General features: G+C 37.0%; 1 protein-coding gene across 9 annotated transcripts in view; it reads left to right on the top strand.

Moving 5' to 3' along the window:
* The window catches only part of TRIM36 (tripartite motif containing 36), a 55,523-nt gene extending 35,737 nt beyond the window's left edge, over positions 1–19,786 (top strand). For 7 of the 9 annotated variants that reach the window (NM_001300752.2, NM_018700.4, XM_017009621.3 and 4 more), the window contains 6 exons: positions 3,184–3,279; positions 6,942–7,195; positions 7,434–7,558; positions 10,411–10,698; positions 13,669–13,966; positions 17,701–19,786. In NM_001300752.2, coding sequence (NP_001287681.1) covers positions 3,184–3,279; positions 6,942–7,195; positions 7,434–7,558; positions 10,411–10,698; positions 13,669–13,966; positions 17,701–18,055 — 1,416 coding nt within the window. In that variant the 3' untranslated portion in view covers positions 18,056–19,786. Of the gene's footprint in view, positions 1–3,183; positions 3,280–6,941; positions 7,196–7,433; positions 7,559–10,410; positions 10,699–10,888; positions 10,936–13,668; positions 13,967–17,700 lie in introns of those variants that run through there. The other 2 variants (XM_017009623.3, XM_047417362.1) reach the window with 2 other exon arrangements.
* The last annotated feature ends 8,064 nt before the right edge of the window (positions 19,787–27,850 follow it).

The raw sequence follows: 27,850 nt of genomic DNA, 5'->3' as shown, positions 1-27,850 counted from the left end.
CTTTACTTTATGCCTTTAACTTTTCATTTATAAAATCATGGTGTGTTATATGGTCTCTTTTGTACTAAAATGAGTTAAAGTGTTACTTAGCGATCTACTAATATTAGGTTGTTAGTATTTCTGATCAACAATTATTTGTGGTACTGATAAGGCCCGGCATATATTGACACCTATGTTGTATTAGCTCTGAATTCTGAGGGAAGAGAAGGATGAAGGACACTTCATCATGATACCCAAATGAGCCCAATGTCTATGATAATGGATGTATACATAGGATTGACATACTTTAAAGGGTTGTGGCTGTTTTAAGACACTTGATTCTTATTTCTTGCCTGTAGAATTACTATTTTGTTCATTCTGGTGGCACACTTACCATTTAAAACTGAATTACTTCCGTGGCTCACACCTGTAATCCCAGCTCTTTGGGAGGCCGAGGCGGGCGGATCACGAGGTCAGGAGATCGAGACCATCCTGGCTAACACGGTGAAACCCCATCTCTACTAAAAATACAAAAAAAAAATTAGCTGGGCATGGTGGCGGGCACCTGTAGTCCCAGCTACTCAAGAGGCTGAGGCAGGAGAATGCTGTGAACCCAGGAGGCGGAGCTTGCAGTGAGCTGAGATCGCGCCACTGCACTCCAGCCTGGGTGACAGAGTGAGACTCTGTCTCAAAAACAAACAAAAAAAAACCTGAATTACTTCCTTTGTGTTAGTTTTATTGATGATGTTTAAAACTTTCAAATTTCATAATCAACAACAAAGGCAGCAGTACACTACTATCTTTTCGTTTTATTCTTTTTCCCTTTAAACAATATTTTTAAAAGAAATCATCTATGTACCTACTACCCATTTTGTTTCTTTCCTCTGTTTAACAGTATGTGTATGCATTTTTTTGCCTCTGTCTAATTGCATATATGCAAACTTTTGTGTTTTGCATTTTATATTTATGTTGTGCTCTACCTTCTCTGCACATACGAAATACAGGTATAATTGTATAATTGTTCTTGCCTACTAATTCTCTCATCTGTTTCACTACTAGGTCAGTTTTGATTTTTTTTTTTAATTAAAGTTTATATTTCTCTGCTACCTTGCATGCCTGGTAATTTTTGATTGGCTGCCAGCTATTGGATAGTTTTGTATTTCTACAAATGCTATTTTCTTTGAGTATGTGATTAGGTTGCTTGGAAACGTTTGGGTCTTTTGTGAGGCAGGACAGAACAGCATTTAATTTTAAGGGCTAATTTTATCTGACTATTGAAGTAAAAGCCTTTGATTACTCTTTTCAATGCCCTGTGAATTTAGAGATTTGTTTTTTTTTTTTTTTTTTTTTTTTTTTGTCTGGCTGGTGGGGAACAGGCACTCTTTCCAGCCTTGTGTAAGCTCCTGGGATTGTTTCCTTGAACCTGTAGGGTGATTCTTTGCCTGGGCTTGGACAGTTTCCTCACACACAAGAGTTGATGAGGACTGCTGAATATGTATGGGAGACTGTTTGTGTCTCTGGAGTTCTTTCTCTTTACAACAGTCTCTTCTTAGATACATACCTTACAACCTATGGTACATGCCTTATAACCTATGGCCTCCTTGGACTCAGCTGCATCTCCCTAGGGTTCTTGGTTTGCCCTCAGGAGACTCTGATATACACTAGTGTTTGAGAACCACTGATCCAGAGGAAAGCTTCTGAGCAGTTTTGAAGTCCCTGAGAAATTAACCTCTGATTAGTTCCTAAAGAACTGGGGTCCTGATTTATCTAAAGGAGTTAAGAGGTAGCCTTGTCTTTTTACATTTTAATCTTCAATGCCTATTTTCAGTGTGTGGTACATATACTTTTTAGAGACCTGTGAATAAATGGACATCCTGATTCTTGCTTAAAACTGATCTAGTCTTTTAAAACAAACTGGCTAGATTTGAGGGGACTATTATGACTGGAGCTGTCTCAGATAAAAGCTATTCTCAGATAAACGTATAGTTGGCCAGATACTTTGAGCATTAAAACTCAGAGAGTGTGGTGCTTTTACATCATGTGTCCGAATTCTGCCATCTATTCTTCTCTGGTCCTTACCTCTTTGAGTCAACTAACTTATCTTTTCCTATCTTGTAGTTCTAATGTAAGCTGCTATCATACAACTAAGCCTTACTTCAATTTAAATGGCCAAATGTATCTTATTGCTACCCTAGTTAAAAAAGAGTACCACCACTTTGCACCTAGTACTTCTGATCTCCACATAGGCCTGTTAGGGATGGTATTATTAGAATTGCCATTTTACTTTCAGCTTGGTGCTGAGACGTACCTCTCAGCCTGTGGAATAGTGTTTAGTGTTTAATAGTGCCCTCTTGTTGAGCACCCTTTTCGTTTCAAGTCATCGGTGGTAATTGAGCCTGAAATGCTCAGATTGGCCTTTAAGAGCTACAGCTTGAAAGGTGTTTTCTGGATGTTCTTATTCTTATTTAGACTCTCAATACATTTTTCTGTTACAACTTTTTACCCCATGGTGTTTCGGGGCTTTTGTGTTTTGGTTTTTGTGTATTTCAGAGTAGGTTTTCTGGGCAAGATCAGGGATCTCACCAAAACTTAGGATGGTATTTCTGTGGGAAAGAAACTATACTTATTTAAAAAGGTCTTCCTTACAGACAGATTATTCAAAGAGCTCTGGAAATTGCCTATTTTTATAAAACTATATTTTCATTATTGTGTAATTATTTAATAGGCTGGGATGAACTGTCAATATTATTTTGGAAGTCTCTTTGTTGCTACTCCTATTGTGTATAGGTGTGTGTGTGTGTGCACGTGGGTGTTTGTGAGAGTAAATTATAAAATCTGAAGACAAAACTATTTGAATTGCTGTTCTTCCATTTACTTAGAAGCCTTAGGAGCAGGAGCTCTAGGAATGATAATGAAACAATAAAAATGTACTGTTTTTATATTCAGAAGTTTTGACTAATTTAACCATTATTACCTTGTTCTTTTTTCCAACTGATTTTAATCTTTCATACATCCTTTGGCCCTCTGTGCCTAAGGCCATTAACTGTTTACTCCGGGTTAATAATGATAATTGCCATAGTTGATTTTATTATGTTTATCAGAGGCTGTAGAAGAGGATGAGTCCTGTGTAATTAAAAAAAAATTCTGCAAAGTCTTTGCTAAACTCCCGTTTTGTCTATTTGTGTTACGAATATGTTTCAACAGGAAAAGCTTTCAAAGGATATTGATTACCTTATTGGTAAGGAAAGCCAGGTGAAGAGTCAAATATCTGAACTAAACTTGTTAATGAAAGAAACAGAGGTAAGTGATAAACTAGCTTGCATATTTTAAATTATTGTTATTTTATCTAGACATTCATTCATTTGTTCATAAAATCCTGAGAGTATTATATGAGCTGGGAATACAAAGTTGTGTTAGATTTCACCCCTGCTTTTCTGGGGCTATGGAAACAAATGTAAAAAATGAATTATAATGTTGTGTGGTCACTTCTGTGGTAGAGCTAGTGATTAAATGATATTGGAACACAGAGGGAAAAAATGACTATTTGTGTGGCAACTAACAAGATCTCAAAAGTATTTAATAGTAACATAAGGGAAATGATAGGTTTTACTTATTTTTATTATATTTTAAAAAATTAATAGATCACTTTTGGAAAATGTGCTGTATGCAGATTGGGCCAGGTTTATTTTAAATTCCCGGTATTCCTGAGTGTATACCCTATATATGTTCCCCAAAAGACATATATTAGAATGTTGGTGGCTGCCTTGTTTGTAATTGTCACAAAGTGGGATCTACCCACATGCCCATTAACAGTAGAATAAAAATAGCAATAAGAATGAATGATCTGCAGCTGCACACAGCAGGTAGATTAATCTTGCAGTAATGTCGACAGGAAGGCGCCAGATACAAAGGAATACATACTATGTGATTACATTTCTAAAAAGTACCAAAAAAGGTGAAACTAGATGATGATGTTAGAGTTGAGGAGGGGGGTAGGTTAGTGTCTGGAAAGGTTATATGGAGGCTTCTGGGATACTGGTAATGTTCTTTTATCTAATCTGGATTTTCTGTTGGATGCTGGTTATATTGAGTGTGTGGGTAAAGATTCATTAGTCTTTATACTTACATGTACATTTTTCCATTTGTGTATTATGTTTCAATAAAAAATTAGAAAAGATAACAGCATTTTAAAAATAATAGTAAAAGGGGATTGGATTGGGTTGTTTTAAAAGTCCAGATATTCTTCACTGACTTTGTTGTACACTTGTTTTTCTTCTCCATTTGAAACAAAGTTGAGCCATTACTCCTGATTTTTAGTAATTAAATATAAAAATATCCCAGCTAGTATGACACTGTTACTTGAAGAAGTTTTTTTCCAATATAGGTTGAAATTATTGAGAAATCACGAAAATTAACACCACTACCAGCAGTGCTTTTGTTTTTAATATTATTTTCCTGATCTTTACTGATTCACCACCCTAAGTCAGTCATTTTTCCATGCAGTTTGGGGTTTTCTTTTTCATATTTTTGTTGGATTAAGTGACAGACTGTCTCAACACAAAGCAGATGATCACCTTAGTAGGTTGCTTCAAATGTTGCATCTTTGGTCATTTTATTAATAGCCTTGTTTGTTGGTCCTCTCAGTCCTGCTGCTCTTCACTTCTGAAATGAAGACCCAGAGTCTGTTTTGGGGTTTGTCATCAATAGGTTAAAAATTGAGGAACTTAGGTGTCAAGTATTCATGTAGACACTGATTCCTTGGGATAGTGGGGACATTACTGAGTTGTTTTGTATCATTTGCCTAAGTTGTATCTGTAGCCTTATCAATAAGAATTTTTTTTACGCTAGATAACTTGCCTCCATTCTCGACATTTACTTAGTGATGATGGTGACACTGTCTTTTTTATCTGTAATTTTACTTGGCTGAAAAAAATCTATCTATAATGATATTTCTGAGTTGGATGTTGTGATTTGTCAGTGAAATACTATCAAAATGTCACTACCTTCTGCTCCTTCTCTTTTAAAAATATGTGGCTGTCGGGGTTAGGAAACAGGAGATCTGGAAAAAATTTCCTTTCATTATAGGTGTTGGCTGAAAGCCAATGGATAATGCACAGTACGCTTCTGCCATATATTGTCAGCTTTTAAGAATGTTCTTAGCCAGGCTTAATGGCTCACGCCTGTAATCTCAGCACTTTGGGAGGCCGAGGCGGGCGGATCACAAGGTCAGGAGTTCGAGACCAGCCTGGCCAACATGGTAAAACCCGGTCTGTACTAAAGATACAAAAAAATTAGCCTGGCCTGGTGGTGCACACCTGTAATCCCAGCTACTCGGGAGGCTGAGGCAGGAGAATTGCTTGAACCCGGGAGGCAGAGGTTGCAGTGAGCCAAGATCACTCCATTGCACTCTAGCCTAGGTGATAGGGCAAGACTCCGTTTCAAAAAAAAAGAAAAAAAAAAAGCTGGGTGCAGTGGCTCACACCTGTAATCCCAGCACTTTGAGAGGCCGAGGCAGGCAGATCATGAGGTCAGGAGATCAAGACCATCCTGGCTAACACGGTGAAACCCCATCTCTACTAAAAATACAAAAAAAAATTTAGTAGGGTGTGGTGGCGGGCGCCCGTAGTCCCAGCTACTCGGGAGGCTGAGGCAGGAGAATGGCGTGAACCTTGGAGGCGGAGCTTGCAGTGAGCCGAGATCGCGCCACTGCACTACAGCCTGGGCGACAGAGCGAGACTCTGTCTCAAAAAAAAAGAATGTTCTTGAAGACTTTTTTTCTGTTGGCTGCTGTCTGTGAGTCTGTTATAATAAGTGCTTAGGAGTGTTTGCCAGTCTTCTCAAAATCATGAGCTCTGATTTTATAGGAATTCAGAATGTTTAACAAACACTAGGGTCATTTTATGACAGTTTGTATGAATGTTTATTTACAGTATGTGACACTGTGGTATATACTTTATGTAAATAACCTTTTAAAATCTCTTCACAAAAACCTAAATGGTTTTTCTTATCCCCTATTTTCAGAAGAGAAAAAACAGAAAGAGAAGTGAAATGATTAGCATATGGTCACACAGCTAAGTCAGGATTTAATTATAATTATATTAAAGTGAAGAGGATACTTTTATTTTTATATCTTAGTAAAGAATGTCATATTTTAGAGTTTTGTGGCTAAAAACTTTTTTAGGCCAGGCGCGGTGGCTCATGCTTGTAATCCCAACACTTTGGGAGGCCGAGGCGGGTTGATCATGATGTCAGGAGATCAAGACCATCCTAGCTAACACTGCGAAACCCCATCTCTACTAAAAATATTGAAAAAAAGCTGGGCGTGGTGGCATGTGCCTGTAGTCCCAGCTACTTGGGAGGCTGAGGCAGGAGAATCACCTGAACCCAGAAGGCGGAGGTTACAGTGAGCCAAGATCGCACCACTGCACTCCAGTCTGTGCGACAGAGCGAGACTCTGTCTCAAAAAAACAAAAACAACTTTTTAAAAAGTTGGAGTAGCGTAGAAAGGGTGAAAACATTTCTGAATTTGAAATGAATTCAAAGTTCTGGAATTGTGTTTTCCTGTTTTTGTTTAAATCAGTTCATTTCTCCTTCATATTCCTTTATATACCACTGAAAGATTATTCTCTTATTTAATTGACTAAATTGTTTATTGCCAGACTTTGGAGATGAAAAGCTTAAGGAAGTACAATATTATAAAATTACAAAGTAAATCTGAATAAAAGTTGTCAGTTGTTCTTTGCTAAGTGTATTTGATGCCAAAATATTGTTCTGAAAATTTCAGAGTTAGATAAAACTTTTTTCTTTATAATATCTAGGTTGGTTTTATCAAATTTTGATAATGCTGTCATCACATAGATGAAATGTAATTATGTAGAACTTTGTGGAAAGCCATTTGGGTTTAGCAGAAGAGGCTATTCTTTGTTTTATCTTAGTGTAATGGAGATACTGTTTTTTCTTAGTGTAATGGAGAGAGGGCTAAAGAAGAAGCAATTACACATTTTGAAAAGCTCTTTGAAGTTCTGGAAGAGAGGAAATCATCTGTTTTGAAAGCAATTGACTCCTCTAAGAAACTAAGATTAGACAAATTTCAGACTCAAATGGAAGAGTACCAGGGACTTCTAGAGAACAATGGACTTGTGGGATATGCTCAAGAAGTGCTAAAGGAGACAGATCAGTCTTGCTTTGTGCAGACAGCAAAGCAGCTCCACCTCAGGTATTCTCTTTTACTTCTAACTTTAGAACCTATTGAGCAATGTTATTAAATGCTGCTGTGTATTCTCACTTTAGCTCTGATTGGTCCATAATGCTGTGTTAATGTGAGGTACATCTTGCCTCATTCTTAACTTTAATTTTGAGTGAAGTGTGGGTTTTATTTTGTTAATCATGTTGCAGATATTTAGTCTGATTTGACTTCTTAAAGAAACATTTTTATATAAAATATCTGTCTGCAGAATACAGAAAGCCACAGAATCTTTGAAGAGCTTTAGACCTGCAGCTCAGACTTCTTTTGAAGACTATGTTGTTAATACCTCTAAACAAACAGAACTTCTTGGAGAATTATCCTTTTTCTCTAGTGGTAAGTCTTAATGAAGGCAAAAACCTCATTCTTTTTGTCTGAATTTGTATTGTGTGGAAGAAAACACAAGTTCTCTTAAATTTGACATTATAAAGCAGCATCTCACTTGCCCAGGACTATCACAGCATCCTGAAATCATATCCTATTTATGTTTTTAAAACTATATTTTTATGCACAAAAACTATGTTCCATTAGTTTGTGTGTTTTTAAACATTGCATAAATAGCATTATGTTGTATGTATTTTTGTAAATTGCTTTTTAGAAAATTAACATAAATACTTGTAAATATATGAAATTTTGGTGTAAAGCAATATTTTAACTGTTTACAGTATTTCATAAGTAAATCATTTTCCTACTAAGAGACTTTTTTTTTCCATTTTTTTCCTCTTTTATGAGCAACGCTGTGTCGCACATCCTTGTCAGAGTTTTTTGGGCAAGTGTATGTGAGTTTCTTGGACAGAAGCCTAGGAATGGAATCTGCAGGCTGTTTACATTGCTGTATTAGTTTGCTTGAGCTGCAGTGACAAAAGTACCATAGACTGAGTGACTCAAAACAGATTCATTTTGTTACATTTCTGGAGCCTACAAGTCAGAGATCAAGGTGTTGGCAGGGTTGGTTTCTTCTGAACCTCTCTTCTTGGTTGATAAATGATAAATGGCTATCTTCTCCTTGTGTCTTCACATGGTCCTCTGTGTGTGTGTGAGAGAGATCTAATCTCCTCTTTTTATAAGGACACCAGTCATATTGGAGTAGGGCCCATTCTAATGACCTGATTTTAATTTAATTTCCTCTTTAAAGACCCTATTTTAAAATACAGTCACATTCTGAGGTACGTACTGGGGGTTAGGACTTCAACATGTGAATTTCCAGTGGCGAGGGGTGGGGTCTGGGGGACTGGGGAAGGATGCAATTCAGTCCATAACACTTGCTTACGTTTGTATTTTGCTACTCCCTAGCAGGGAGGTCTTCCTTGCCTTTTTTTCTTCTTCTCACCTCATTCCTCTCCCTAAGATTTCTCTTCTAGTGATGGTGAACACTACAAAGATATATTTATAGTATAATTACTTTATAGGTGCAGATTTGTAGATTTGTACATTAATACAAGGAAATTTGTCTTGTTAAAAGTTTAAAACTCTGAAGGATTACTGTGACCTCCTTTTCAAATCTATACCTGAATCTGATACTTACTTACTATGACCGTCTTATTTTTTCAAATAGATATTTGTCATCACTTAAAATGCTGATTGTATTTCATACACTATACTGTGTTTCCAAAATGTATGCTTGAATAGTATATATACAAATAGATATTTGCTTACTTGTGAGTCCTAGGTCCTCCCTCCCTGTGGATCCCAAAATGGTTGCTGGAAAGGTAAGGTTGAGGGTGGGTTATCCTGGGTTATACCACTGTATAGCAAGGAACCAATAAAACAGGTGGATGAGAATGGGATAGTAGTCACCTAGCTTCTGGCTGATGGATCTTCCCCTCATTTTTTGCTACATGCATTTTTTTTTTTTTAGTAAGCTATGTTTCAAAAAAAGAAAGAAAAAGAGTATGGGGTAGGCGACATACTATTTGTTAATCTGTAACTTTTTTTTTAAATTTTAAAATGTATTTTGAATAACTTTCCAGATCTCATTATGGCTGCATAACATTCAGTTGTATAAATGCAGCATACACAGAAATGCTTATACATTGGGGAATAAGGAGAGGAAAGAGACTTCTGCTTCTTATTCATGTCCTTCTCTGTGATTTGTCATAAATGTGTGTGTGTAGCTTTTATAGCGTATTGTTCTTAGCATATGATTCCAGCAGTTAAGCTTGGGAATTGGCTCTATAGAAAGGACTTTGCATATGAATAAAGATTTAGAATCATTTTATTTTTAGTGAAAAACCAGAAACCTGTTTCCAAAACTAAACAGTTAAATGTTGATATATCCATGTAGGTAGTATACCATTGAGGGGGAAAATACTGGCGAGATCTATACAAAAAGGTTATAGTAATTACCTTTGAGTTAGTTAAAATCTTTTAATGTGTATTTTTCAGTTTCTGATTTCCTTATAAAAATATGTACCATGATTTTATTTAGAAAAATTAATTTGCTTTGCAACTCTACAGAATAAACTATGCAAAGAAATGATAAAATATTCATTGAGAGGCCGGGCACAGTGGCTCATGCCTGTAATCCCAGCACTTTGGGAGACCAAGGCAGGCAGATCATGAGGTCAGGAGATCGAGAACATCCTGGCTAACACGGTGAAACCCTGTTTCTACTAAAAATACAAAAAATTAGCCAGGTGTGGTAGCACGCACCTGTAATCCCAGCTACTTGGGAGGCTGAGGCGGGAGAATCACTTGAACCTGGGAGACAGAGGTTGGAGTGAGCTGAGATCATGCCAGTGCACTCCAGCCTTGGCAACAGAGCAACACTCCATCTTAAAAAAAAAAAATTCATTGAGAGTTTGATATTCTTACCAGACTTAGATTTTAAAATATTAAAATAATAGTTTGTTTAGGGGAGGACATAGGTAAAAAAATTTCAAGTCCTGGGCTGTTATTCAGTAGGTAGAAGGCATGTGGTTAAAAAAAATTTACTTGTGGCTTTGAGTCAGTTTTTGTCTTTTTTACTCTTCTTTCTCCTTTCAGTTACAAATATAGATATACCTTTTAAATATAAAAAATATTTAATATATTTAATTTTTGTGCTTTCTATATATAGTATTATAAATTTAGAAAAGTATTAGTATAGAAATCATTAAATACTGTTTATATGTCATTTTATTGAGGAAAAACACTGGTTTTCAAATGTCAATATTTTAATGTTGTTTTCTATTTCATAATTCTTTCAGGCATAGACGTGCCAGAGATCAATGAGGAACAGAGCAAAGTTTATAACAATGCCTTGATAAATTGGCACCATCCAGAAAAGGATAAAGCTGATAGCTATGTTCTTGAATATCGGAAAATCAATAGAGATGATGAAATGTCATGGAATGAGATAGAAGTGTGTGGAACAAGTAAAATAATTCAAGACTTGGAAAACAGTAGTACCTATGCTTTCAGAGTAAGAGCTTACAAGGGTTCAATCTGTAGTCCTTGCAGCAGAGAATTGATTCTTCATACTCCTCCAGCTCCAGGTATGGTGAATATCAGGAATAAAAAAAGCATAGAGTTAGTTGCAAGAGACCTTGATAAAATAAACTAGTCAGTATCTCCATGTAGACCTGCACTGAAACCAGCTCTTGTTTTTAAAAGACTCCAGAAAAGTAGCTTCTATCCCAGCTGGGCTTTAGAAATGAACTGAGTACTTGAATTTTTACCTTGTAGGCTGAGAACAGGATTGGGTTTTAACTGATGTCAGATAGAGAAAAACATGGAAGGAAGAAATTTGGGTGAGCAGAGCTAGTAAGTTGGGATTTAAATAGCATAAATGCTATTTTAAAAGTTTTAAATATATAATTCTGTATTTTTGGTTTATGGAAATCTCTAAAACATAATTTTTAAAATTTATTGGTCTAATATCCTAAAATATAATTTTGATTTAACCTAATTCTGATTTGTCTGGATTTTTTTATCTAACTAGGCACTTCTCAGATAATAGGGATGGAAGCCATATATTAGAACCACATGAATAGCTTTTCCTCCCACGCTAAAAGCTCCTTATGCCCAGTCATCGCCCCCTCCCTTCCCAAGTTAAAAACCACTGATACTACATATAGAGCGCCTAAAGATTTTTATAGAATGTGAATGACTTTAAAGGTTCGTTGATGTTCACTATGATGTCTCCATGAACAAGGGATATTTAGAACCAAAATTGTGCTCAGCCTGGTTAGCAGGAAAACGTTTTCCCCTTTCAGTCACTGCCTCAGAGATGCCTTTAATTGGATTTTAGGTCCACTGTCCCTTGCCTCTTTTTAGTGTCTTATGTACCCATATTTTCTTCACTCTCCCCTTTCTTCCTTTTTTGTTCAAAATAGAAAAGCACAATTTGTTTTTCATGCACATTGTAGCTTTTAAAAAATTGGAATACAAACATGGAAGATTGGCTAAAATTATATTTCTTAAATTTTAATCAAATCCAATAGAGAGTTTTGGGATGAATTTGCAGGTATTAAGTAACTATTTTATGGTTTATGCTATTTCTGCTTCCTTTTCTAGTCTTTCTGCCTGAAAGTGGAAGAAAAACCTGGACATAACTGCTGTTTTCAGTCACATAGTGGAGGGGAAGGGAGGAGAGGAAGTGTTAACAGTTGTCTTCCTTTTTATGAGAGAAGATACGTGACTAGGGTGACCCTTTAAATTTATTTTGCAAACTGGGAGACTTTTGAGATTGAGAGCAAGCACAAATAATCATGCCAGGAAAAGAGGCATTAGCAGGAAGAATGGTCAGCTCACACGTGGGTAATGGCTGTAGTTTGCTAGCAGTCTTTTTTTTTTTTTTTTTTTCTTTTTGGAGGTGGAGTCTGGCTCTGTCACCCAGGCTGGAGTACAGTGGCACCATCTCAGCTCACTAGCTCACTGCAACCTCTGTCTCCTGGGTTCAAGCAATTTTTCTGCCTCAGCTTCCTGAGTAGTAGCTGGGATTACAGATGCAGACCAGCATGCCTGGCTAATTTTTGTATTTTTAGTAGAGCCAGGTTTCACCATGTTGGCCAGGCTGGTGTCACACTCCTGACCTCAAGTGATCCACCCACCTCGGCCTCCCAAAGTGCTGGAATTATAGACGTGAGCCACCAGGCCCAGCTGCTAGCAGCCTGTTTAAAATATATATATATATGTATATATATATATACACACACACACACACACACATAGAGAGAGAGAGAGAGATGGGGTCTCACTATGTTGCCTTTGCTGGCCTCAAACTCCTGAACTCAAGTAATCCTCCTATCTCCCATGTAGCTAGGACTAAAGGTGTGCACTATGATGCCTGGGGGTCATTTTTTAAATTGTGGTGTAATAAAGATAAAATGTATTATCTTAACAGTTTTTAAGTATACAGCTCATTGGCATTAAGTACATTTACAGTATTGTTTAAATATCACCACTTTTACCTCCTTAACTTTCATTATTCTAAACTGAAACCCTGTACCCATTAAACAGTTACTCCTATTTCCCCTCTCCCCAGAGGCTGGTAACTTTGATTCTAATTTCTGTCTCTATGAATGTGCCTATTCTAGGTATCTCATATAACTGGAATAATGCAATATTTGTCCTTTTACATCTGGCTTATTTATCCATGTTGTAGCATGTATCGAAATTTATCCATACATGTAGCATGTATCATACATGTTGTAGCATGTATCCAAATGTATGTATCCAAATTTATCCATGTTGTAGCATGTATCCAAATCTTTCCTTTTTAAGGCTGAATAATATTCCATTGTATGTATATACCACATTTTCTTTACTCATCTGTTGATGGACTTTCTGTTGTTTCCCCATTGGCTAGCAGCCAATGTTATGCTTAATATATTTGAGTTGATACAGACTTATGGGAGTGGTATCATCATTCTGCAGATGAATAAATTAAAGTTTAGATGAAACTCTAGTTGAATGCTTGAGTAGGATTCAAACCCAGGTCTCTCTCAACCCAAAAGCTGTGTTTTTGTTTTTGTTTTTTTACAGTGTCCCATGTTTCTTATGTCTGCCATGTTGGTTGATACAGAAAAAGCTTTATTAAAATAGCTAAAATGACCCAAATTAACAAAACTTTCAATAAGAAAATGTAGAACTATTTATGAAAATTTACAACTCTTTATTATTTTTTATCTTTAATAAAGATAAAAGAACAAATTCAATAGTGTGAAATACCTGTGATAGATTTGCTATCTGTATTCCAAAGAGCTGTTTTTATAAATTTTCACATATATTTAAAATATTTACATCTGCTTTATGAGATTTCTGAAGATTTTTAGGTAGACAATATACTGGATAAGATATATTGCTAAGTTGGGTTTTGGTTTGTCATAGTTGTCCGGGGTAGTGTGACACCTCCTTCCCGCTTCCTGTCTCTCTTCAGTAATTTCTGTAAGAAAACCTATCAGATTTAACAAACTAGAGCAATGATAATTTTTAGCCTGATATTAATTTTAAGCTCCATTTAGTTTTCAGCTTCCTCTTTGATGAAAAATGTGGCTATAATAATGAACACCTCCTGCTGAACTTGAAGAGAGACCGTGTAGAGAGTAGAGCTGGATTTAATCTTCTGCTTGCTGCAGAACGCATCCAAGTGGGTTATTACACAAGCTTAGACTACATCATTGGAGATACTGGCATTACAAAAGGAAAACACTTCTGGGCCTTCCGTGTGGAACCATATTCATACCTGGTAAAAGTGGGAGTTGCTTCTAGCGATAAACTACAAGAATGGCTCCGTTCTCCCCGGGATGCAGTTAGTCCAAGGTAGGTTTTTGTATTGATCTAGAACTTGATAATTTTTTAAAAGTAAGCCTGAAAATAGATTTGGCTTTGTTACATTTGGAGTATACATTTCTTATTTCTTAGATTCTAGTATTTTGGCTGTGGCTTGATTGAGAAAAGGAGCCGGGTATTCTTGTAATCACACATTGAATAAGGAGAGTTAGCAGTTACTTTTTAATATCATGAGGAAATCCATTTTGGATATCTCTTAATTGTGATATAGCTTCACAGTTTTAAATTTTGAAAGTCTTTAACATGTTACCTATGTCATAAAAATTACCCACGTATATAATACAATGCGTCTGATTGTCATACTTCACAGTTAAGTTGTTCTTTTCTTATGGGACACAGTTTCTTTAAACTTTCCCATAAGTCCTTTTCAAAATTGGGTCATGGTAGACATATTTCCGCAGCAAAGACTTCCAGTTTCTTAAGAGATTGACTAATGAAGATTGTACAGTTCAGTTCTTTTAGATGGAATAAGGTCAACTAGCTTTGAAAAATAATTTTTGACCACTCATGTGAACAGTATCCCAGCTTAACAATCTGAATGATAGGAAAAGCTTTCTTCAGAAAGATAAAAAATTTATATAATGCTGAAAATTTTAACAGTAAAACATAGTGACATGTCCACTTGATAGAAAATTAGTATTAATGTTTAAAAAGTTCATAACATGAGAAATACTAGAAGTGGAGAAACCTAGTAAACGTTGTTGATGCAGTATTATCCAAAATATATAAAAAGCAACATAGGCATATTGAAAAAAATGGGGAACATGTTTCAAAATTTTATATAAGTTTTTTATTGTTTTATGATAAAGGTGAAAAAGCTTCATAATCTTTGTTTGCTTCATACATCCATGATGAAATCCCAACCAGGAAATAGAGTTCTTAGGATGAGAATGAAACATGCTTTTTTCTCTTGCATTATTTTACAGTGCTCATATATTTCACTTAGCCTGGTAATCCTTGGTTTAGGGCATACATCTTATCTTTGTATTTTCTTTTCTTTTTTGAGACGGAGTTTTGCTCTTGTTGACCAGGCTGGAGTGCAATGGCGCGATCTTGGCTCACCGCAACCTCTGCCTCCCGGGTTCAAGCGATTCTTCTGCCTCAGCCTCCCAAATAGCTGGGATTATAGGCATGCACCACCACACCCGGCTAATTTTTTTTAGTAGAGATGGGGTTTCTCCATGTTGGTCAGGCTGGTCTCGAATTCCCGACCTCAGGTGATCCACCTGCCTCAGCCTCCCAAAGTGCTGGGATTACAGGCGTGAGCCACCGCACCTGGCCTGTAGTTTCTTATACATTTATGTATTAGCTTAGCAACAGGAATATGTTCTGAGAAATATATTGCAAGGCAATTTCATTGTTGCGAGAACATCATAGAGTGTTCTTACACAAACTTAGATGGAATAGTCTCCTACACCCTTAGGGTATGTGGAACAGTCTTTGGTCCTAGAATACAAACCTGTACAGCATGTACTGTAATACTGTAGGCAATTTTAATGCAACAGTAAGTATTTGTGTATCTAAACATAGAAAAGGTACAATAAAAATAAGTTATAAAAGATAAAAAATTGTATACTTCTATAGGGTACTTACCATGAATGGAGCTTGCAGGACTGGAAGTTCTCTGGGTGCATCCATGAGTGAATTTGAAGGCCTAGGACATTGCTGCACACTACTGTAAACTTTACAAACACACTATACACTTAGGCTGCACTAAATTTATTTAAATGTATTCTTCTTTAAGAAATTAACCTTAGTTTTATAAACTTTCAATTTTTTTTTTTTTTTTTTTTTTTTTTTTTTGAGACGGAGTCTCGCTCTGTCGCCCAGGCCGGACTGCGGACTGCAGTGGCGCAATCTCAGCTCACTGCAAGCTCCGCTTCCTGGGTTCACGCCATTCTCCTGCCTCAGCCTCCCGAGTAGCTGGGACTACAGGCGCCCGCCACCGCGCCCGGCTAATTTTTTGTATTTTTAGTAGAGACGGGGTTTCACCTTGTTAGCCAGGATGGTCTCGATCTCCTGACCTCATGATCCACCCGCCTCAGCCTCCCAAAGTGCTGGGATTACAGGCGTGAGCCACCGCGCCCGGCCTAAACTTTCAATTTTTAAAAAAACTTTTTAACTCTCTTGTAGGAACACTTAGCTTAAAACACAAACACATTGTACATCTATATACATTTTTTTTTTTTTTTGAGATGGAGTTTCGCTTTTGTTGCCCAGGCTGGAGTACAATGGCATGAACTCGGCTCACCACAACCTCCACCTCCTGGGTTCAAGCAATTCTCCTGCCTCAGCCTCCCGACTAGCTGGGATTACAGGCATGCGCCACCACACCCAGCTAATTTTGTATTTTTAGTAGAGATGAAATTTCCCCATGTTGGTCAGGCTGGTCCCGACCTCAGGTGATCCGCCCTCCTCAGCCTCCCAAAGTGCTGGGATTACAGACGTGAGCTACCACTCCTGGCCCCCCCCAATTTTTTTTATAGCCTTGTTCTACAAGTTTTTTTTTTTAATTTTTTAAATTTTTAACATTTTAAGCATTTTTGTTAAAAATGAAGACACAAACATAATAGCCTATCCAGGGTCAACATCATCAATATCATCGTCTTCCACTTCCACGTCTTGTCCCACTGGAAGGTCTTCTGGGGCAGTAACATACATGGAGCTGTCATTTCCTAGGATAACAGTGCTGCCTTCTGGAAAACCTCCTTAAAGGGCCTGCCTGAGGCTGTTTTACAGTTAACATTTTTTTAAATAAGTAGAAGGAGTAAGTCTACAATAACAATAAAAGCATTGCATAATAAATACATGAGCCAGTAACAGTCACTTATTAAATATTACATAATGTACATAATTGTATGTGTTACACTTTTATGTAACAACTTTAAGCACTGTTTACACCAGTATCACCACAAACATGTAATGGGTTACACTACAGCCTTACAGTGGCTACCACGTCACTAAGCTATAGGAATGAATGAATGAATGAATTTATTTATTTAAGACAGGGTCTCGCTCTGTTGCCAGGACTGCAGTGCAGTGGTGCTATCTCGGTCCACTGCAACTTCTGCTTCCTGGGTTCAAGTGATTCTTATGCCTCAGCCTCCCAAGTAGCTGAGACTACAAGCGTACACCACCATGCCTGGCTAATTTTTGGATTTTTAGTAGAGATATGGTTTTGTCATGTTGGCCAGGTTGGTCTGGAACTCCTGGCCTCAAGTGGTCCTCCTGCCTTGGCCTCCCAGAGTGCTGGGATTACAGGCATGAGCCACTGCACCCAACTGAAATATTTTAGTTTCATTATAGTCTTACGGGACCACTGTGGTATATGAGGTCTGTTGTTCACTGAAATGTTCTGTGGTACATGATTGTACATGATTGTGTGCTATAAAAATTTAACATTTGACCAGTTATCACTGCCCGCTCCCTCACTTTTTGGAAGGCTAAAATTATCAATGATTTTCTAGGGTTTCACTTCTGTATATAACTAAAGCAGTGTTTAATGACAGGGAATTTGGGGCTGAGTCTGTGGTATAATTCTAAATTGTAATGTGTCATTTTTATGTTTTTGATTTTGTTTTAATAGAAAGCTTTTGATGTAAAAACTATTTTAACTTTACATCAATGTATATTATCCTGTGAAAATGTTTTGAAGATACTTAGATCTATTGTTGAAGATACAGATGCTTTGTATTATGTTTCAGATATGAGCAAGACAGTGGGCATGACAGTGGAAGTGAGGATGCCTGTTTTGATTCTTCACAACCATTTACCTTAGTTACTATAGGCATGCAGAAATTTTTTATACCCAAGTCACCTACTTCTTCTAATGAACCTGAAAATAGAGTTCTCCCTATGCCAACAAGTATTGGGATTTTCCTTGACTGTGATAAAGGCAAAGTAGATTTCTATGATATGGATCAGATGAAATGCCTTTATGAACGCCAAGTGGACTGTTCACATACACTGTATCCAGCATTTGCATTAATGGGCAGTGGAGGAATTCAGCTTGAAGAACCCATCACAGCAAAATATCTGGAATACCAAGAGGACATGTAGTTGAAACATCTGATGTGACTCAGGATAAAAACTGTAAACAAAGCAATGCCTTAGCGTTAACCTTCGTAACTAATTACATATCGCTGAGTGTTCTGTCACCCCACTTGTGTTTGAGTATGATTCTTCTTGAAATACAGAAAATCTAAACAGCCTTGTGTCTTCATGTCGTTGTTCTGCCTTTCACAAATGATGAAAGTGAAGATGTTCTTTCCAAGTTAATACTGAAGTGGTTAACTTTGCAACTGGACTGTCTTTTACTTTATGTACAGGATATCTAATTTATTTCTGTCAGCTGGTGTTGCTGACACTTTCCTTATGGTGGGGGGGATACAAAAGTATTTATTATGATTCTCTTCTGTTTGACTTTTCATTTTTATATCATGTTTATGTCCTAAGAGAAGATATTTTTTAAATGCCTTATGGATAGGAATTAGTACTAAGCAATGTGTCTTGCATTTGTTTTCAATAGGAAAACAAAGTTCTAGATAGGTTAAAAGAAAAACACCATAAAAGTGGTAGTATATTTAAGTGGAAAATTATGTATTTTAAAGTGTGTAACTATTAAAAATATATTGCCTGGAAAAGGAATACTACTGTTTTGTTTTGTTAAGACCACAAACTGTATTGCTAAGGACATTTTAAGAGTCTGCTTAGCCATAACACTCATTTAACAGCATGGGTAGTAAGCATGGTTTCTTGCAGAAAACACAAAGTTCTCAGCTAACACATTAAACTTCTCACTTTATATACTTTTTTTCAGAGAAATTTATCTTTAGTTTTTCTTATTCTGTGAAAATATTTGTTCTTATGTCAAAGAATTATTTTTCAGATATATTGGTAAAGATGGACTGATATTAAAAGTCATATTTATTCTTTTACCCCCTTACTGTGTTTTGTGATTTTCATTTTTGGCCCAATTATTACATATCAGGTTTTCCTGATTTATATTTACATGTTTGAAAAGTTCATTATATATTTTAGTAGCGTTACATATATTATAAATTTTTGTAACATTTAAATGTTCACTTATGTGGCATTTTCTGTTTCTCATTGGTAATAAGCATTTCTAATATAAGCAAGTAAAAATACAAATTTAATTACTTAGAAATGATAACTAAGATCACAATGACTGTGTACCCTTTAAAATATCTTTTAATTTGAGGAATTACATTCTATCTAAATTGTGTGTCTGTTTTTGAAAGGTGTTGCTTTCAAGTAGGTGGTTTTTATTTAAAGTACTTATTTTTTTGAGGTTAAAATATTCAGAAACTACTTTTATGCATTGTAGCAGTAATCATTTATGGAATGCTTTTGACATGTTTTAACAGGGTAACCAAAACTTTTAGGCCTGTTTTTTTTGGTTGTCCTTGTTGTTATATTTTTAATGGAAATCTGTTACTCAGGCTGGTAGCATTAAATTAGCTTTTTACCCTCAACTCAAGTAGCAAATATCATGGAGAACTTCAGTGTTTAGCAGGCTGTTAATTTCCCATCTATGAATAGCACTTTATGATGTAGGCTAAACTAAGCAAATAATGCAGCGTTATGTGGATCATTATGCAATAAAGCTGCTAAAGTCACATTTGTGGTTGATACTCAAGCCTTGTACAAGCACATATGATGTAGACATTTTTAAATGTGAAGCTTTAACAGGAATAGGATAGCTGTTTCAAACCTTGTGCAATTGTAAATAAATTGTTTAGCTGTGTTTCTTTCATTTTTAATAAAAAATTAAAAAGAATTCATGTGTAATTATTCAGATCTGCATTCCAGGAATTTTTAGTATGTTTACATGAAAAGTTGAAACAAACTGATTATGAAAAGATGATTAGCTGTACATATTAACTCAGAGCTACAGTTTTATATGAAATCATTTTGAACATTTATTTATTAGCTTAATTTCTGTGAAAGTGATTATTAGAGAAGCTTAACATAAAACTTCAATTGTTTCATATATTAAATTTTTTTAATATAAAACAATATAAAATTTTATTTTTTTATTACATAAGCTAATAATAATAGTGCAAGTTTGTTCTTTTATCCCCAAAGGAAAAATATGGTAAAAGTTATATCTTGACTAAGGATCTGAGGGTCAACATTTTAATACCAAAATGCTGTGTTTATAATTAATATATTCAAAATATACTCATCTTTAAACCAAATGTTATATACTAAAAGACATCAGAAAGTATCTACTAAATAGTACAATATAGTAACCACCTTGTAACACTGTACTTAATATAGCCCAGTTTTATAAAATACTGTAAATAGTTCTACCGTCTAAGCAATTCTAGATTTTATTTTTCCCTTTGTGCAACAAATCAGAATGCGTGATTATAGAATGCTAAAAGCTCTTGGAGATACTTTGCCAGGCATCTTTGAGGAGAAATTTTAGAGAATCAACGACACTTGATTAAGCATTTATGAACCATAAGTTTTTCTTCTGCTCTCCTGTGGAAAAAAAACAAACATAAAATAAAACAACAAACCATATTGGCAATTGCATATGTTTATAAACATTCCATTATTTTTTTTTTCTGTTTTAATTATCTTTTAAGATGAAATAATCTGTCCATAGGCTAGAGCAGCAAGTTTATGCAAGAGAATATGAAAACATCCTTCCTTCTAGTAGAATATGTATCCATAGTGCATGATGTCCACTGAAGTTTGTAATATTTTTACATGCAATGTTACTATTGCAGTTATTAACAACCTATAATGTTTTGCACATAGTAGGCTTTCAAATGCTGTTAGGATTCAACATGGGACATAAAGCCTAAGAATGGAACCAGATTCCCTAGGGTTTCAGTATTTGATTTCTAGATGACTAGAAGACTGCCCTGGTGTAATCTATGTGTCTTGGAATTTTTTTATGGTGATGAACAAAGTAAACATTTGACCTGGAAATCACTGGAAATATTCGAACCAAACAAAAGAGTAATAAAAAGTAAACCTATCCTTAACTTTAAAACCAAGCATGGGTTCTTCTGGTTGATGGGTGTATAGTTGAGAAAGCATATTTCTCCAGAACTATTCAGTTTCACTGACAGGGAAGTATTTTTTGGCACAATAACCAATTATTGAATTATTTTATTTTATTTTATTTTATTATACTTTAAGTTCTAGGGTACATACGCACAACACGCAGGTTTGTTACATATGTTTACATGTGCCATGTTGGTGTGCTGCACCCATTAACTCATCATTTACGTTATGTATATCTCCTAATGCTATCCCTCTCCCCTCCCCCACACCCCACAACAGGCCCCGGTATGTGATGTTCCCCACCCTGTGTCCAAGTGTTCTCATTGTGCATTTCCCACCTATGAGTGAGAACATGTGGTGTTTGGTTTTCTGTCCTTGCGATAGTTTGCTCAGAATGATGGATTCCAGCTTCATCCATGTCCCTACAAAGGACATGAACTCATCCTTTTTTAATGGCTGCATAGTATTCCATGGTGTATATGTGCCACATTTTCTTTATCCAGTCTATCATTGATGGACATTTGGGTTGGTTCCCAGTCCTTGCTATTGTGAATAGTGCCACAATAAACATACGTGTGCATGTTTCTTTATAGTAGCATGATTGATAATCCTTTGGGTTTATGCCCAGTAATGGGATGGCTGGGCCAAATGGTATTTCTGGTTGTAGATCCTTGAGGAATTGCCACACTGACTTCCCCAATGGTTGAACTAGTTTACAGTCCCATCAACAGTGTAAAAGTGTTCCTATTTCTCCACATCCTCTCCAGCACCTGTTGTTTCCTGACTTTTTAATGATTGCCATTCTAACTGGTGTGGGATGGTATCTCATTGTGGTTTTGATTTGCATTTCTCAGATGGCGAGTGATGATGAGCATTTTTTCATGTGTCTGTTGGCCACATAAATGTCTTCTTTTGAGAAGTGTCTGTTCATATCCTTTGCCCACTTTTTGATGGGGTTGTTTGATTTTTTCTTGTAAATTTGTTTAAGTTCTTTGTAGATTCTGGATATTAACCCTTTGTCAGGTGGGTAGATTGTAAAAATTTTCTCCCATTCTGTAGGTTGCCTGTTCACTCTGATAGTAGTTTCTTTTGCTGTGCAGAAGCTCTTTAGTTTACTTAGATCCCATTAGCCAATTTTGGCTTCTGTTGCCATTTCTTTTGGTGTTTAAGTCATGAAGTCCTTACCCATGCCTACGTCCTGAATGGTATTGCCTAGGTTTTCTTCTAGGGTTTTTATGGTTTTAGGTCTGACATTTAAGTCTTTAATCCATCTTGAATTAATTTTTGTATAAGGTGTAAGGAAGGGATCCAGTTTCAGCTTTCTACATATGGCTAGCCAGTTTTCACAACACCATTTGTTAAATAGGGAATCCTTTCCCCATTTCTTGTTTTTGTCAGGTTTGTCAAAGATCAGATGGTTGTAGATGTGTGGTATTATTTCCAACGACTCTATTCTGTTCCATTGGTCTATGTCTCTGTTTTGGTACCAGTACCATGCTGTTTTTGTTACTGTAGCCTTGTAGTATAGTTTGAAGTCAGGTGGCATGATGCCTCCAGCTTTGTTCTTTTGGCTTAGGATTGTCTTGGAAATGTGGGCTCCTTTTTGGTTCCATATGAACTTTAAAGTAGTTTTTTCCAATTCTGTGAAGAAAGTCATTTGGTAGCTTGATGGGGATGGCATTGAATCTATAAATTACCTTGGGTGGTATGGCCATTTTCACAATATTTATTCTTCCTATCCATGAGAATGGAATGTCCTTCCATTTGTTTCTGTCCTCTTTTATTTCGTTGAGCAGTGGTTTGTAATTCTCCTTGAAGAGGTCCTTCACATCCCTTGTTGGTTGGATTCCTAGGTATTTTATTCTCTTTGAAGCAATTGTGAATGGGCGTTCACTCCTGATTTGGCTCTCTGTCTGTTAATGGTGTATAGGAATGCTTGTGATTTTTGCACATTGATTTTGTATCCTGAGACTTTGCTGAAGATGCTTATCAGCTTAAGGAGATTTTGGGCTGAGATGATGGGGTTTTCTAAATATACAATCATGTCATCTGCAAACAGGGACAATTTGACTTCCTCTTTTCCTAATTGAATACCCTTTATTTATTTCTCCTGCCTGATTGCCCTGGCCAGAACTTCCAACACTATGTTGATTAGGAGTGGTGAGAGAGGGCATCCCTGTCTTGTGCCAGGTTTCAAAGGGAATGCTTCCAGTTTTTGCCCATTCAGTATGATATTGGCTGTGGGTTTGTCATAAATAGCTCTTATTATTTTGAGATACGTCCCATCAATACCTAATTTATTGAGAGTTTTTAGCATGAAGGGCTGTTGAATTTTGTAAAAGGCCTTTTCTGCATCTATTGAGATAATCACGTGGTTTTTGTCTTTGGTTCTGTTTATACAATGGATTATGTTTATTGATTTACATATGTTAAACTGGCCTTGCATCCCAGGGATGAAGCTAGCTTGACCGTGGTGAATAGGCTTTTTTATGTGCTGCTGGATTTGGTTTGCCGGTATTTTATCGAGGATTTTTGCATCGATGTTCAACAGGGATATTGGTCTAAAATTCTCTTTTTTTGTTGTGTTTCTGCCAGGCTTTGGTATCAGGATGATGCTGGCCTCATAAAATGAATTAGGGAGGATTCTCTCTTTTTCTATTGATTGGAATAGTTTCAGAAGCAATGGTACCAGCTCCTCTTTGTACCTCTGATAGAATTCGGCTGTGAATCCATCTGGTTCTGGACTTTTTTTGATTGGTAGGCTATTAATTATTGCCTCAATTTCAGAACCTGTTATTAGCCTATTCAGGGATTCAGCTTCTTCCTGGTTTAGTTTTGGGAGGGTGTATGTGTCCAGGAATTTATCCATTTCTTCTAGATTTTCTAGTTTATTTGCATAGAGGTGTTTATAGTATTCTCTGATGGTAGTTTGTATTTCTGTGGGATTGGTGATGATATCCCCTTTATCATTTTTTATTGCATCTATTTGATTCTTCTCTCTTTTCTTCTTTATTAGTCTTGCTAGCGGCCTATCAATTTTGTAGATGTTTTCTAAAAACCAGCTCCTTGGATTCATTGATTTTTTGAAGGGTTTTTTGTGTCTCCATCTCCTTCAGTTCTGCTCTGATGTTAGTTAGTTCTTGCCTTCTGCTAGCTTTTGAATGTGTTTTCTCTTCCTTCTCTAGTTCTTTTAATTGTGACATTAGGGTGTCAATTTTAGATCTTTCCTGCTTTCTCTTGTGGGCATTTAGTGCTATAAATTTCCCTCTACACACTGCTTTGAATATGTCCCAGAGATGCTGGTATGTTGTGTCTTTGTTCTCATTGGTTTCGAAGAACATCTTTATTTCTGCCTTCATTTCATTATGTACCCAGTAGTCATTCAGGAGCAGGTTGTTCAGTTTCCATGTAGTTGCGCGGTTTTGAATGAGTTTCTCAATCCTGAATTCTAGTTTGATTGCACTGTGGTCTGAGAGACAGTTTGTTATAATTTCTATTCTTTTACATTTGCTGAGGAGTGCTTTACTTCCAACCATGTGGTCAATTTTGGAGTAAGTGTGATGTGGTGCTGAGAAGAATGTATATTCTGTTGATTTGGGGTGAAGAGTCCTGTAGATGTCTATTAGACCCTCTTAGTGCAGAGCTGAGTTCAATTCCTGGATATCCTTGTTAACTTTCTGTCTCGTTGATTTGTCTAATGTTGACAGTGGGGTGTTAAAGTCTCCCATTATTATTGTGTGGTAGTCTAAGTCTCTTTGTAGGTCTTTAAGGGCTTGCTTTGTGAATCTGGGTTCTCCTGTATTGGGTGCATATATATTTAGGATAGTTAGCTCTTTTTGTTGAATTGATCCCTTTACCTTTATGTAATGGCCTTCTTTGTCTGTTTTGATCTTTGTTGGTTTAAAGTCTGTTTTATCCGAGACTAGGATTGCAACCCCTGCCTTTTTTTGTTTTCCATTTTCTTGGTAGATCTTCATCCGTTTATTTTGAGCCTATGTGTGTCTGTCTGCATGTGAGATAGGTCTCCTGAATACAGCAGACTGATGGGTCTTGACTCTTTATCCAATTTGCCAGTCTGTGTCTTTTAATTGTAGCATTTACCTCATTTACATTTAAGGTTAATATTGTTATGTGTGAATTTGATCCTGTCATTATGATGTTAGCTGGTTGTTTTGCTCATTAGTTGATGCAGTTTCTTCCTAGCCTCCATGGTCTTTACAATTTCGCATGTTTTTGCAGTGGCTGGTACCAGTTGTTGCTTTCCATGTTTAGTGCTTCCTTCAGGAGCTCTTGTAAGGCAGGCCTGGTGGTGACAAAATCTTTCAGCATTTGCTTGTCTGTAGAGGATTTTATTTCTCTTCCACTTACGAAGCTTAGTTTGGCTGGATATGAAATTCTGGGCTGAAAATTCTTTTCTTTAAGAATGTTGAATATTGGCCCCCACTTTCTTCTGGCTTGTAGAGTTTCTGCTGAGAGATCTGCTGTTAGTCTGATGGGCTTCCCTTTGTGGGTAACCCGACCTTTCTCTCTGGCTGCCCTTAACATTTTTTCCTTCATTTCAACTTTGGTGAATCTGACAATTATGTGTCTTGGAGTTGCTCTTCTCGAGGAGTATCTTTGTGACATTCTCTGTATTCCTGAATTTGAATGTTGGCCTGCCTTGCTAGGTTGTGAAAGTTCTCCTGGATAATACCCTGAAGAGTGTTTTCCAACTGGGTTCCATTCTCCCCATCTCTTTCAGTTACACCAATCAGATGTAGATTTGGTCTTTTCACATAGTCCCATATTTCTTGGAGGCTTTATTCATTTCTTTTTACTTTTTTCTCTAAACTTCTCTTCTTGCTTCATTTCATTCATTTGCTCTTCAGTCACTGATACCCTTTCTTCCACTTGATTGAATTGGCTACTGAAGCTTGTGCATGTGTCACGTAGTTCTTGTGCCATGGTTTTCAGCTCCATCAGGTCATTTAAAGACTTCTCTACACTGTTTATTCTAGTTAGCCATTCGTCTACTCTTTTTTCAAGGTTTTTAGCTTCTTTGCGATGGGTTCGAACATCCTCCTTTAGCTCGGAGCAGTTTGTTATTTCCGATCGTCTGAAGCCTTCTTCTTTGAACTCATCAAAGTCATTGTCTGTCCAGCTTTGTTCCATTGCTGGCGAGGATCTGTGTTCCTTTGGAGGAGAAGAGGCGCTCTGATTTTTAGAATTTTCAGCTTTTCTGCTCTGGTTTCTCCCCATCTTTGTGGTTTTATCTACCTTTGGTCTTTGATGATGGTGACGTACAGATGGGTTTTTGGTGTGGATCCACTTTCTGTTTGTTAGTTGTCCTTCTAACAGTCAGGACCCTCAGCTGCAGGTCTGTTGGAGTTTTCTGGCGGTCCACTCCAGACCCTGTTTTCCTGGGTATCACCAGCCGAGGCTGCAGAACGGTAAATGTTGCTGTCTGATCCTTCCTCTGCAAGCTTTGTCTCAGAGGGGCACCCTGCCATATGCAGTGTCAGTCGTCCCCTACTGGGAAGTTTCTCCCAGTTAGGCTACTCAGGGGTCAGGGACCCACTTGAGGAGGCAGTCTGTCCATTCTCATATCTCAAACTCCATGCTGGGAGAACCACTACTCTCTTCAAAGCTGTCAGACCGGGACGTTTAAGAAGTTTCTGCTGCCTTTTGTTCAGCTATGCCCTTCCCCCATAGGTGGAGTCTACAGGGGCAGGCAGGCCTCCTTGAGCTGTGGTGGGCTCCACCCAGTTTGAGCTTCCTGGCCACTTTGTTTACCTACTCAAGCCTCAGCAATGGTGGAAGCCCATCCCCCAGCCTCACTGCCACATCGCGGTTCAAACTCAGACTGCTGTGCTAGCAGTGAGCAAGGCTCCGTGGGTGTGGGACCCTCTGAGCCAGGCACGGGATATAATCTCCTGGTGTGCCATTTGCTAAGGCCATTGGAAAAGCATTAGGGTGGGTGTGTCCCGTTTTTCCAGGTAAGGTCTGTCACTGCTTCCCTTTGCTAGAAAAGGGAATTCCCCAACCCCTTGCACTTTCTGGGTGAGGCGATGCCCCGCCCTGCTCTGTGGGATGCATGCACTGTCTGACAAGCCCCTGTGAAATGAACCTGGTACCTCAGTTGGAAATGCAGAAATCACCCGTCTTCTTTGTCACTCACGCTGGGAGCTGCAGACTGGAGCAGTTCCTATTCGGCCATCTTGGAACCTCTCTGGTTTATTCTATTAAATTGTTTAATATTTCTTTTCTGATACATAATAGATCAGGTTTTGACCAGATGAGCGGTCCTTTGTTCACATTCATACTCTTTGATCTGTGATTCTGGTAGTTGTGGTGGGTTGTGGATCACAGTGAATCTTTACTAATGCTTGATGGGTCTTAACGTTTTTTCTTTCAAGGCTATTCCTATGACCCTTGATAATAACTTAGTTGTCATGTGCACAGTTGCTCTCTTGAAAATCATATGAGTCAGAGCTATCTCCTTTTGGGGACTGAACACAATCTGGGCCTGTTAAATCTTTTGCCACAGCCCATAATCTGATTAGGCCCTGGAAGTGTGTCTCAGGGAAATATAATCAATTGTGTTGCTACAGTATTACAGGCAAGAATACTCTTAAGAAAGAAATTATGTTCTACCAGAGAGATTTGCATTCATTTTAAAGGAGTTTTATCTGCTTGTTTATGGGAATATCCTAAAATTAGAGTTTTTCTTGAGACTCTTTTGCTTTAAAAATAAACTTGAAGATATTTCGTTTTGTTAAGTTTAATTTGGAACTATTTCATTCATTTCACAAAAAGTTTTTAACTGCTGCT

Source organism: Homo sapiens, chromosome 5, assembly GCF_000001405.40.
Source record: "Homo sapiens chromosome 5, GRCh38.p14 Primary Assembly".
Lineage (NCBI taxonomy): Eukaryota > Metazoa > Chordata > Mammalia > Primates > Hominidae > Homo > Homo sapiens.
The sequence above is the reverse complement of the archived record's forward strand: the minus strand, read 5'-3'. Positions and strand labels throughout refer to the sequence as shown.